The sequence below is a fragment of the Homo sapiens genome, chromosome 10, assembly GCF_000001405.40.
Source record: "Homo sapiens chromosome 10, GRCh38.p14 Primary Assembly".
Classification (NCBI taxonomy): Eukaryota; Metazoa; Chordata; class Mammalia; order Primates; family Hominidae; genus Homo; species Homo sapiens.
Genome location: NC_000010.11, coordinates 32,717,032 through 32,729,246, shown reverse-complemented (window position 1 = coordinate 32,729,246; position 12,215 = coordinate 32,717,032). Strand labels below are relative to the sequence as shown.

The following is a 12,215-nucleotide window of genomic DNA, read 5'->3' as shown; positions in this document are numbered from 1 at the left end:
AAAATCATGTGAATAGTTTTCATGAGCATGTGTGGAGGCAGTGATACTACTTATAATTAATGACCATTCAAATACCAACCAAAAAGTATCATTACTTTTGTTCTCTAGTTATCATAGGGTATTCACACTTTAGGTCAAAGTTAAAAGTTGATGAAATATAGTCTGAAGTACACACTGACGAATCAAAGGAAAAGATCTGATGAGTTCAACATAAAATAATTTAAAGTTATCGATAATTATTATACTCACTCTTGTGTCTTTCCACTCCAGAATTTATTTGTTTCTTTTCTTGCATTTGGAGTTTTGACTTTGAATCTTGATGAACAGAAATCACATTTTCATTTGGTACTACAATACGAGCTATATCAAGAGATGCATTTAGTCCATCAAATGGAAACATAAATCTATGAATGTATAATATGTACATTTCTCTTATTTTTATAAAGTTATAAGTAAATTACCATAATGCTAGATCTGACACAAAAATAGAATAATTTTAATGGCTGCTGTGGAAGCTAAGCCATTATTTCATAAATATTCTGAAGCATCAAATAAAGTTTATATTGGTCTCCAGGATTCATGAGTTTATACTTTAATACATAATCAAAATACTTACATAATACATGATAATTTATACTTTAGCTTAATATATAATCATAGGCCAAACAATGAAAATGCATATGCATAAGATCATTCGTTATAGCATTATTTGTAATTGCAAAATATTCAAAACCATTGAGATTTTCACACACAGGAGATTGGTCAAATGAACAGATATATATACCACAAACAATGGTATGATATTAATTACAGTATATAATTATGTGGAGATGGGGCTGAGAGTTGCCAGAGAATCTGAGAGCTAATTTGCACCCAATGACTGCTGTTACTTCTAAACAGCTACCAGGCAATGATAGACAGCCTATGTCCCAGCAAAGTATTGAGACTCATGGTTAAATTATAAGGGATTTTTTTAAAAAAAATGTAGAACCTTCTGAGATCACTTTACCTACCTACCAAAGGCACCTTAGAACATTATGTACTCTTCTTAAACTTAATGAGAAAAAGTGGTACCTTGTGGAATAAGTCACTACAGAACCCCTCCTTCAGAGTGTCATGACAGAGAAGCTTCACTCAAGGGGGAGAAAGAAAGGGGGTGTATGAGATGCCAACTTCAAGACCCTCTCATTCCTCAGCTTAGTGATTGCTTGGGCTCTGATCGCTTGGGCATACCCATGATGAACCTACCACTAAAATCATGTTTGGACCACCCTTGCAGAGGCAAGAGCAGCCCTATGAATCACAACGCTGGTTGTCCTTTGGTTCTACAATCAAGAGTAAGAACAATAGAGGAGATGGTTGACCAGACTCAGATTTCTAGGTTCTTTCATGCCACTCTTGCTGATTTTCCAATTCAATCAAACTTATGCATAAGGGCAGGTCATATGTTCTGTGACAAAATCCAGAACTTAACTGAAAAATTTTCAGGCATGGGAAAAGCAGCAGCTCCTGAGGTAGAAAAAGACTGACCAGCAGGAAAGCGATATATTAGGTTGGTACAAAAGCAATTTATGGCAAAAACTGCAATTGCTTTTGCACCAACCTAATAAAATGGCAATCAAGCGCCCTCTCCTGAATGATGCCTGTAGAGACAATCTCTAGGTCTGGTTACTAAACAGTGAAGTTGATGGGCCCTACTAGGGTCAGCACATTGAAGACCCTATGATTAATGAAGTGTTACTCCCTCCACCCTTCCCTGTGAATTTGGAGATGATGTGCAGTCGCCTATCTTTTCGTCCTCTCAATCCCCTAAAATGAAAAGGAAGCACAATCATTGTTGGCCATGGGCACTTTAACATTCCCCACCACACAAGAAACTTGATGGCACCCATCTATAAGGGTACCAAGAAGACCTTACTTTTGTGTGGCGCTCAACCAACAAAATGCCCTAGGGCTAACCAACAAGCCTTCAGGACTATCCTTCTCCTTGGCTCCTATAATTCCCACTTGCTATTTGAGTTACAGACCTCAACAACCTCTCAGTTTGTTGACTGAAGCCTAGGGAAGAACAACATCGCTACACGTGGTAAGTGATCATTGGGTATGATCTCCAGGAAACTAATCTCCCAGAGTCAGCTGAAAGGTACACTCTTCAAGATACTGTAGGCGAATTATTGGGCCTTGGTAGATATTGAGTGCATGTCCAATGGCTGTGAAATAATCTTATGACCAGAAACTCCAACATGAAGTTAACATTTTCATTTTTGCTCTCTACTTATCTTAAGACTTCAGGGCAAAGTCTACGATTTCCATAAAATACATGCTAAAATACACATTCAGGAATCAAAGGCAAAGATCTTCTGATAAGTTTAATTTTAAAATAATTTAAAGTCATCTATAATTACTACACTTACTATTACGCCTTTCCCTTCCAGGAGTTATTTTTTTCTTTTCTTGCATTTGGAGTTTTGACACTGAATCTTGATGAACAAACATAGAATTTTTATCTGGTACTACAAAATGAACCACATAAAGAGATACATTTAGTCCGCTAAATGAAAAAACAAATCTATTGTGAAATCTCTATATTTGAAGTTTATAACAAGTATATAGCAATATTTTTTCTCATTTTTATAAAATTATAAGTAAATCACCATAATTTAAATCTGACATGAAAATGATGAAAATAGTTTTAATGGGTGTTACAAAAGCTGTCTCATTATATCATAAATATTCTAAGGCATCAAATATATTTTCTATTGGTCTTCAGAATTCATTGATTATTTACACTGTAGGTTAATACACAGTAATAGACCAAACAATAAAAATTTGTATGCACATTATTCATTACCATATTATTCATAATTGCAAAATATTCAACACATCTAAATATTCAAGTATAATATATTGGCTCAATAAACAAAGATATATACTATAAATTATGATATGATATAAATACTCTACATATCACTATATATAATTCTATACATATTATGTAAAAATAATAAAGGTTTCTATAAACTAACATGGAGGGATTTCTAGAAGATAATGTTAAGTGAAAAATAATCTTAAAAACAGGATATCTAGTACGGTAACTTTTGAGTCAGAAATAACCAATCAGAAAAAAACAGAAATAGAGAAATATTAACCTTTTCAAAATGAGACACAGGTAAAATAAGCAAGAAAACACTGTAGTTTGTTATCTACAAGACAACAGGGCAGGAAAAAGGATGGGAATACAAAGAGAAGGAATGTGGCAGAAATTATATTCTTCTAAGGATATCTTTTGCATAATATTTACTTTTGGAAGTAGGTTAATGTTTTACATATTTGATATGGTTTGGACATGAGTCCCCTCCAAATCTCATGTTGAAATGTGATCCCTAAGGTTGGAGGTATTGCCTGGTGGGAGGTGTTTGGGTCATGGGGGCAGATCCTTCATGAATGGCTTGGTGCCCTCTCTATGGTAATGAGTTCACATAAAATCTGGTTGTTGACAAAGACATTGGGATGTCCCCCATCTCTCTCTTGCTTCTCTTGCCATGTGACATGCTGGTTCCCCTTCCCTTCCACCATAGCTAAAAACTCCCTGAGGCCTCATCAGAAGCTGAACAGATGTTGGTACCATATCTGTACAGCCTGCATAACCATGAGCCAAATAAGCCTCTTTTCTTCATAAATTACCCAGCCTCAGGTATTCCTTCACAGCAATACAAAATGCATGAACACAATATTCTAAAAATAAAATTAATTCAATAAGGATAAGAAGTGGGAACTAAAACTGAAAGGAAACTAACCTAATATATGGAACAAAAAAACAAGTACTAATCCATGTAACTAATAAATACAGTATTTGAAACATACCCTCAGTCTTGGGCAAGAGTGTTGGGGGCAGACTGCAAAGAAATCATGAAATTCTTTTAGTAGGTTTGTTTTTGTAGTAGTATATGCTAAGCAATTTTGTAAAAGTTTCAAAGTATTATAGGATAGAGCAACTGCATAAATCAGTTGGTGCTTCGAGAGAAAGGATTCAAAATACAAAAGAAAGGATATATACATACAAAATGAAGGAAATCAAGAACAAGCCCTTAGACACTAAAATTAAAGGTGTCCAAGAGATCTCATGATTTCTAAAATATGTGTATTCATGTACACATGCATGCATATGTGCTCATGCATGTGTATGTGTGTGTATGTATAAGTAGATATATACACATAAATATATACGTGTATTCTAAGGAGTATGGGTTCAAGTTAAAATGTTGTGTGTGATCTTTCAGGCACACCCATAGACAAGTACAAAGGTTTTATCTGGCAGTTATGGAAGACAGCTTTCCATCCCACACTGGATGTAACATACAGCCAGTGCACTGTGATCTCCGTAGGGATGTGCAGGTATGGGTTCAGATCTCTCCAGGCCAACCATGCTCTTACTCATATCTGCACACCTAGCTCAGGAACCCTCCATTTGGAGTCCTTCTTGTGAGGGAGTAGAGAGCTCGACTAAGGTACTGTATTATTAAGGGGACTCTGGTTAGATGACCTTGCTGGGGAGCCTTGAAGACAATTTTCTTTCTTCTGACAGTGTTCAGTACTTTTCCACTCCTGGTCCTCTCCACATGCCACATCTATATAATGGCAAGAGCTTTTCATTTGGGGTTCCCATGGCAGTGAAATGATCCCCCCATTTTTAAATGAAACATCTGCCACTCATCTGGTGCCTTTAATGGGGAAAAGTGGAATTCTGGTGAAGCTGGGCCCTTTCCTGTGTAGACTCTTGCTTATGTTATCACAGTATCTGAAAAAAGGCTTAATTATTCCTTTCAGTTTGACTTGTTATATTAATTGACCAACTCAACAACTGGCAGCTCTCTCTCTGACAAAGTGGTGCAGTGAGCAGAGTTGACCAGTAAATACACTGCCTTTCTAGAAAAGAAAAGAACCCCGAGGATCCCATGGAAATTTTTTGGGAGATGTTAGAGAAATGCATGGGACACTCACGGATGATGCCAATGAATCCTTTGCAAGAGTCTGGGAGTCCCATAGAGCACTTCACCAGCCATGACAATGTGTCTCAGGAAATATTTTGTGGGCCCTGGGAGTGCTTTTGGGGAATGCTAGTGATTGTATATATAAGCTTTTCAGGTCTCAGGGAGAACTAATAATCCTTCCTTTTAGCTTCCAATTCCCTAGCTGAGCTTGCTTGGTGGGTTAAATTATAAATCCAAAAGAGAGACTCTAGGAAAGCTGGGGAAGCAATCCCTACCTAGTAATACAATCTCGGAGGCAATGGCAACAAAAGTCATCAGAGACCCTGAGTTGCTGAGTTGCACCCAGTTACTAGTGTTAGCTCTAAGCATGTCTCTGACACTGAAAGATAGCCTGCGATGCAGCAAATTGTTGAGACTCATGCCTAAAATGGAAAAGAATGTAGAGCCCTTTGGAGTTACTTCACCCAGCTATCTAAAGTGATCTTAGAGACTTGGGTTTTTCACCTCCACGATGAAGAAGGAAATCTTGTTAAACTTAGTGAGAGTGTCATCTTGTGGGGTGTATCATTATAGACCCCCACTTTCAGAGTATACTATTAGCAGCCACTTTGCCTAAAGAGGAGGAGGAAGAGAGGACTGGGATGAAAGGCTGCAAGCATCCAAAACAATCTACATCCTCAGCTGGATATTATTTGGGCTTAGAAAGATTTGATCCAACATGATAAGTTCCTTGATATTAAAAAACATAGTTGGACTATTCTTCCAATGTATATAGCTTCCCTGTTAGCCACCCCGGTGGTAGATGAGACTGTTAACAAGACTCAGTTTTTTAGGTTCATTCGTTTTACTCCTACTGGTTACTGAACTCAATTAAACATCCTCATAAGGCCATGCTGATCAGTCTGTGGTACAATCCAGATATTAACTGATGACAAATCGGTATCAGAATTGAAAAAGTAGCTGCTGCACAGATAGCAACAACTGGCTGGCAGAAAGAGTGATGTAAAACTGGTAATCACGCACTCTCTCCAGGACCATCTGGGCAAGCACTTTCACAACAAGATCGCTGATTCCAGTTACTTAAGTGTGGGTTCTAAGGAAATTGATGGGCTCTCCCACCAAGGAACTCATGGCAAGGTAGTGAGCCATGGGGCCCTACAGGGTGGTCTGCTAGGGTCTACGAAGTAATGGATCCTGATTAATAAAGCGCTATTCCTTCTGCTCCTCCCAGTGAAGCTGGAGGTGAACTGGAGACTCCCATTCAACTCTTAACCGATGTCTCAGCTTTCAAAACTAAACAAGACTAAGGATCAGGCCAAGGTCCCTATGTGCCTATGAAGAACGGTGGTCATATAACAAGGTAAAAGTTCAATAGGGATATAGAGGAGCATTGCATTTCTTGGGCCTTTTGGATTTGGTGCACAACTATGATCTCCATAATCCCTAACACTATGATGGGAGGGTTACGGGTTGAATTGTGCCCCTCTAAAACAGGTAAGTTGAAGTCCTAACCCTCAGTATCTCAGAATGTGATCTTATTTGGAAATAGGAACTTTACAGAGATTAATGAAAATGAGGTCATTAGAGTGGGCCCTAATTCAATATAAATGATGTCCTTATAAAAACAGAAAATTGGAGCACCCACACACACTGGGAAAATGCCATGTGAAATTGAAGGCAGAGATTGGGGTGATGCATATAGAAGCCAAGGAATGTCAAAAATAGCAACCCACAAGGAGCTCAGGCAGAGGCATGGAATTGATTTTCCAAGAATGAACCAACCATGTCAACACCTTGATCCCAGACTTCTAGCCCACTGACGACAATTTTTGTTGTTGAAGCCACCCAATTTGTGGGTACTTTGTAATGGTAGCCCTACCACTGGGAAGTAGATCGCTGCTGTAACAAAGTATGCATGGGTCCCACTGGACCACTAAAACCTCCATTGTTATGGCCCCCAACTACTGAATGTATAACAGTATAGTTATATTGTTTTAGTATATTCCTGCTTGCATTCATTCCCAAGCCCCAAAGAAAATTGCTCTAGTTAGAGCCATTTGGTGGGATATATGGGGACCATGAATTTACCTGATTAATAGTACCTAATGCTATTGTCTACCAAAAAAAATCCATGAACTAGGGGAGAAAAGATATAACTATTTCATTTCTGAGCTTAATAAAGCCAGTTTTCTATGGGACTAATTTTCCATCCAATAACCCCATGGGGCCTGTGTACTGGCCTTGGGTACACACAGAGATTCGATTGATTATTGGTAGTTCATTCCATTAGTGTAGCCCTAAGCACTGGCAGTACTGACTTTGTGACTGTCACAGAGGCTACTGCCCAAGACAAAGGAACTTAATATACAACAACTGACATCTCGTATACTCTTTTCAATATCCATGTCCCTGTTCTAACCTTCTACTATATTGAAGACATCTTCCTGGTGGGTCCAGACACTACCAAACAAAAACTGTTGCCCTGTTGACCCACATGCAGCAACACAGCTAGCCCAAGAATACAGACAAGGTACAAAGACCTAAAACCCAAGTGAATTCCAGGGTATGATCTAGAAAGGGGCATAAGGTCTTATTCCAGAGGAGACAATTGCCAAGCCTTTGGCCCACTCTATCCCAACAAATATAAAGAAGTCCCAGGGACTATTGGGACTATTCAGCTACTAGTACATTCACATCACACAAGCAGAAATCTAGATGACACCCATATATTATGTTACCAGTAAGGCTGCCATTTTTGAGTGGTGTTCTGACCAACAGGATTGCCTGGAGGCTTTCCAATGGGCCATGCTGCTAACTTTACCCTGAGTCCTTGTGATCCACATTTGCCTTTGAGTTATAGGTCTCAGCAACTTCTTTGTGCACCAATTAGAGCCTACGGCAGAAAGACACTGACACAGGACTGAGGTGTCCATTGGGTTTCTGAATTCATAATCTCCCAAAATCAGCTGAAATCTACACATTCTTCATGAGACAAATTTTGGCCTGTTATTGGACATTGGTGGATACTGAGTCTATGACTCATAGCCATAAAATAGTGTTATAAAGTTCAACCAAAGTTCACCAATTCTGGGCTATTTTTTAAGTTATCTTGGGGTATTTACATATTAGTTCACAGTATAAAATATCTTTTTTTTTTCTTTTGGAGACAGGGTTTCACTTTGTCCCCCAGAATGGAGCACAGTTGTGTGAACACAGCTCACTATAGCCTCAACCTCCTGGGCTCAAGCTATCCTCCATTTCAGCACCCGCAAGTAGCTGGGACTATAGGCATGAGCCACTACGCATGGCTAATTTTTGCATTTTTTTGTAGACACAGGGTTTTGCCATGTTGCCCAGGCTGGTCTTGAACTCCTGAGCTCAAGCAATATACCCACTTCGGTCTCCCAAAGTGCTGGGATTATACAATCATAAACCAAAATTCCTGAAGCTACTACTGAGCATTTTGGGGAGATACTGAAAAGCCTCTGGGGCACTTTTAGGTAGTGCACACAGATAATCTGCAAGAGTCTGAGGGTCATCAACTATGCCAATGGGTCTCAGAAAGTGCACTGAATGCCACAAACAGCTCTGAGAGAGTTCTAAGGGATGTTTACATAAGATTCTATGTTCTTAGGGGAATCGTTATCCTTCCCTTAGCCCCCAGTTGTCTTTTTTAAATTATAATTATAGTTTAAGTTCTGGGATACATGTGCAGAACATGCAGGCTTGTTACATAGGTATACATGTGCCATGGTGGTTTGCTGCACCCATCAACCCATCATCTACGTTAGGTATTTCTCCTAATGCTATCCCTCCCCTTGACCCCCTACCCCCCAACAGGCCCCAGTGTGTGATGTTCCACTCCCTGTGCCCATATGTTCTCATTGTTCAACTCCCACTTATGAGAGAGAACATGCGGTGTTTGGTTAGTTGGCTGTGTATTAGTTGCTGTGTGTTGTTAGTTTGCTGTGTTAGTTTGCTGAGAATGATGGTTTCCAGCTTCATCCATGTCCCTGCAAAGGACATGAACTCATCCTTTTTTATGGCTGCATAGTATTCCATGGTGTATATGTGCCATGTTTTCTTTATCCAGTCTATCATTGATGGGCATTTGGGTTGGTTCCAAGTCTTTGCTATTGTGAATAGTGCTGCAATAAACATACGTGTGCATGTGTCTTTATAGTATAATAATTTATAATCGTTTGGGTATATAATTTATAATCGTTTGGGTATATACCAAGTAATGGGATTGCTGGGTCAAATGGTATTTCTAGTTCTAGATCCCTGAGGAATTGCCACACTGTCTTCCACAATGGTTGAACTAATTTACACTCCCATCAACAGTGTAAAACCATTCCTATTTCTCCACATCCTCTCCAGCATCTGATGTTTCCTGACTTTTTAATGATCACCATTCTAATTGATGTGAGATGGTATCTCATTGTGGTTTTGAATTGCATTTCTCTAATGACCAGTGATGATGAGCTTTTTTTCATGTTTGTTGGCTGCATAAATGTCTTCTTTTGAAAAGTGCCTGTTCATATCCTTCACCCACTTTTTGATTAGGTTGTTTGTTTTTTTCTTGTAAATTTGTTTAAGTTCCTTGTAGATTCTGGATATTAGTCCTTTGTCAGATGGATAGATTGCAAAAATTTTCTCCCATTCTATAGGTTGCCTGTTCATGCTGATGATATTTTTGCTGTGCAGAAGCTCTTTAGTTTAATTAGATCTCATTTGTCAATTTTGGCTTTTATTGCAATTGCCTTTGGTGTTTAGTCATGAAGTCTTTGCCCTTGCCTATGTCCTGAATGGTATTGCCTAGGTTTTCTTCTAGGGTTTTTATGGTTTTAGGTCTTAGGTTTAAGTCTTTAATCCATCTTGAGTTAATGTTTGTATAAGATGTAAGGAAGGGGTCCAGTTTCAGTTTTCTACATATGGCTAGCCACTTTTCCCAACACCATTTATTAAATAGGGAATCCTTTCTCCGTTGCTTGTTTTTGTCAGGTTTGTCAAAGATCAGTTGGTTCTACATGCGTAACATTATTTCTGAGTCCTCTGTTCTGTTCCATTGGTCTATATATCTGTTTTGGTACCAGTACCATGCTGTTTTGGTTACTGTAGCCTTGTAGTATAGTTTGGAGTCAGGTAGTGTGATGCCTCCAGCTTTGTTCTTTTTGCTTAGGATTGTCTTGACTATACGGGCTCTTTTTTTGGTTCCATATGAAACTTAAAGTAGTTTTTTCCAATTCTGTGAAGAAAGTCAATGATAGCTTGATGGGAATAGCATTGAATCTATAAATTATTTTGGGTAGTATGGCCATTTTCACGATCTTGATTATTCCTATCCATGAGCATGGAATGTTTATCCATTGGTTTATCTCTTCTCTTACTTCCTTGAGCAGTGGTTTGTAGCTTTCCTTGAAGAGGTCCTTTACATCCCTCATAAGCTGTATTCCTAGGTATTTTATTTTCTTTGTAGCAATTGTGAATGGGAGTTCACTCATGAGTTGGCTCTCTGTTTGTCTATTATTGGTGTATAGGAATGCTTGTGATTTTTGCACATTAATTTTGTATCCTGGGACTTTGCTGAAGTTGCTTATCAGCTTAAGGAGATTTTGGGCTGAGACAATGGGGTTTTCTAAATGTGCAATTATGTCATCTGCAAACAGAGACAATTTGACTTCCTCTCATCCTATTTGAATATCTTTTATTTTTTTCTCTTCCCTAATTGCCCTGGCCAGAACTTCCAATACTATGTTGAATAGGAGTGGTGAGAGAGGGCATCCTTGTCTTGTGCCGGTTTTCAAAGGGAATGCTTCCAGCTGTTGCCCACTCAGTATGATATTGGCTGTAGGTTTGTCATAAATAGCTCTTATTATTTTGAGATACATCCCATCATTACCTAGTTTATTGAGTGTTTTTACCATGAATTTTCTCAAAGGCCTTTTCTGCATCTATTGAGATAATCATGTGGTTTTTGTCATTGGTTCTGTTTATGTGACTGATGGCATTTATTGATTTGCATATGTTGAACCAGTCTTGCATCCCAGGGATGAAGCTGACCTGATCGTGGTGGATAAGCTTTTTAACGTGCAGCTGGATTCTGTTTGCCAGTATTTTATTTAAAATTTTCGCATCGATGTTCATCAGGGATATTGGCCTGAATTTTTGTTGTTGTTTTTGTGTCTCTGCCAGATTTTGGTATCAGGATGCTGCTGGTCTCATAAAATGAGTAGGGAAGATTCCCTCTTTCTCTATTGTTTGGAATAGTTTCAGAAGAAATGGTACCAGCTCCTGATTATACCTCTGGTAGAATTTAGCTGTGAATCTGTCTGGCCCTGGGCTTTTTTTTTTTTTTTTGGTAGGCTATTAATTACTGCTTCAATTTCAGAACTTCTTATTGGTCTATTCAGGGATTCAACTTCTTCCTGGTTTAGTCTTGGGAAAGCTGTATGTGTCCAGGAATTTAACCATTTCTTCTAGATTTTCTAGTTTATTTTCATAAAGGTGTTTACGGTATTCTCTGATGGTAGTTTGTATTTCTGTGGGATCAGGGGTGATATCCCCTTTATCATTTTTTATTGTGTCTATTTGATTCTTCTCTCGTTTCCTCTTTATTAGTCTGGCTCGTGGTCTATCTATTTTGTTAAATTTTTCAAAAAAACAGCTCCTGAATTCATTTATTTTTGAAGGGTTTTTCGTGTCTCTCTCTCCTTCAGTTCTGCTCTGATTTTAGTTATTTCTTGCCTTCTGCAAGCTTTTGAATTTGCTCATCCTTCTCTAGTTCTTTTAATTGTGATGTTAGGGTACGGATTTTAGGTCTTTCCCACTTTCTCATGTGGGCATTTAGTGCTATAAATTTATCTCTACACACTGCTTTAAATGTGTTCCAGAGATTCTTGTACATTGTGTCTTTGTTCTCATTGGTTTCAAAGAATTCACTTATTTCTGCCTTCATTTCGTTATTTACCCAGTAGTCATTCAGGAGCAGGTTGTTCAGTTTCCATGTAGTTGTCTGATTTTGAGTGAATTTCTTAATCCTGAGTTTTACTTTGATTGCACTGTGGTCTGAGAGATTGTTACGATTTCCATTCTTTTGCATTTGCTGAGGAGTTATAACTTGCTTCCAATTATGTGGTCAATTTTAGAATAAGTGCGACGTGGTGCTGAGAAGAGTGTATATTCTGTTGATTTGGGGTGGAGAGTTCTGTAGATGTCTATTAG

At 38.4% G+C, this 12,215-nt stretch overlaps 1 protein-coding gene across 44 annotated transcripts in view; it reads right to left on the bottom strand.

Annotated features, from left to right (window-relative positions):
* CCDC7 (coiled-coil domain containing 7) overlaps nucleotides 1-12,215 on the bottom strand; it is a 439,541-nt gene that overhangs the window by 153,618 nt on the left and 273,708 nt on the right. For 43 of the 44 annotated variants that reach the window (XM_047425743.1, XM_047425742.1, NM_001321115.2 and 40 more), the window contains 2 exons: nucleotides 2,415-2,513; nucleotides 250-360 (listed from right to left, as the gene is read on the bottom strand). In XM_047425743.1, coding sequence (XP_047281699.1) covers nucleotides 250-360; nucleotides 2,415-2,513 — 210 coding nt within the window. The remainder of the gene's footprint in view (nucleotides 1-249; nucleotides 361-2,414; nucleotides 2,514-12,215) is intronic. The other variant, XM_017016638.1, reaches the window with a different exon arrangement.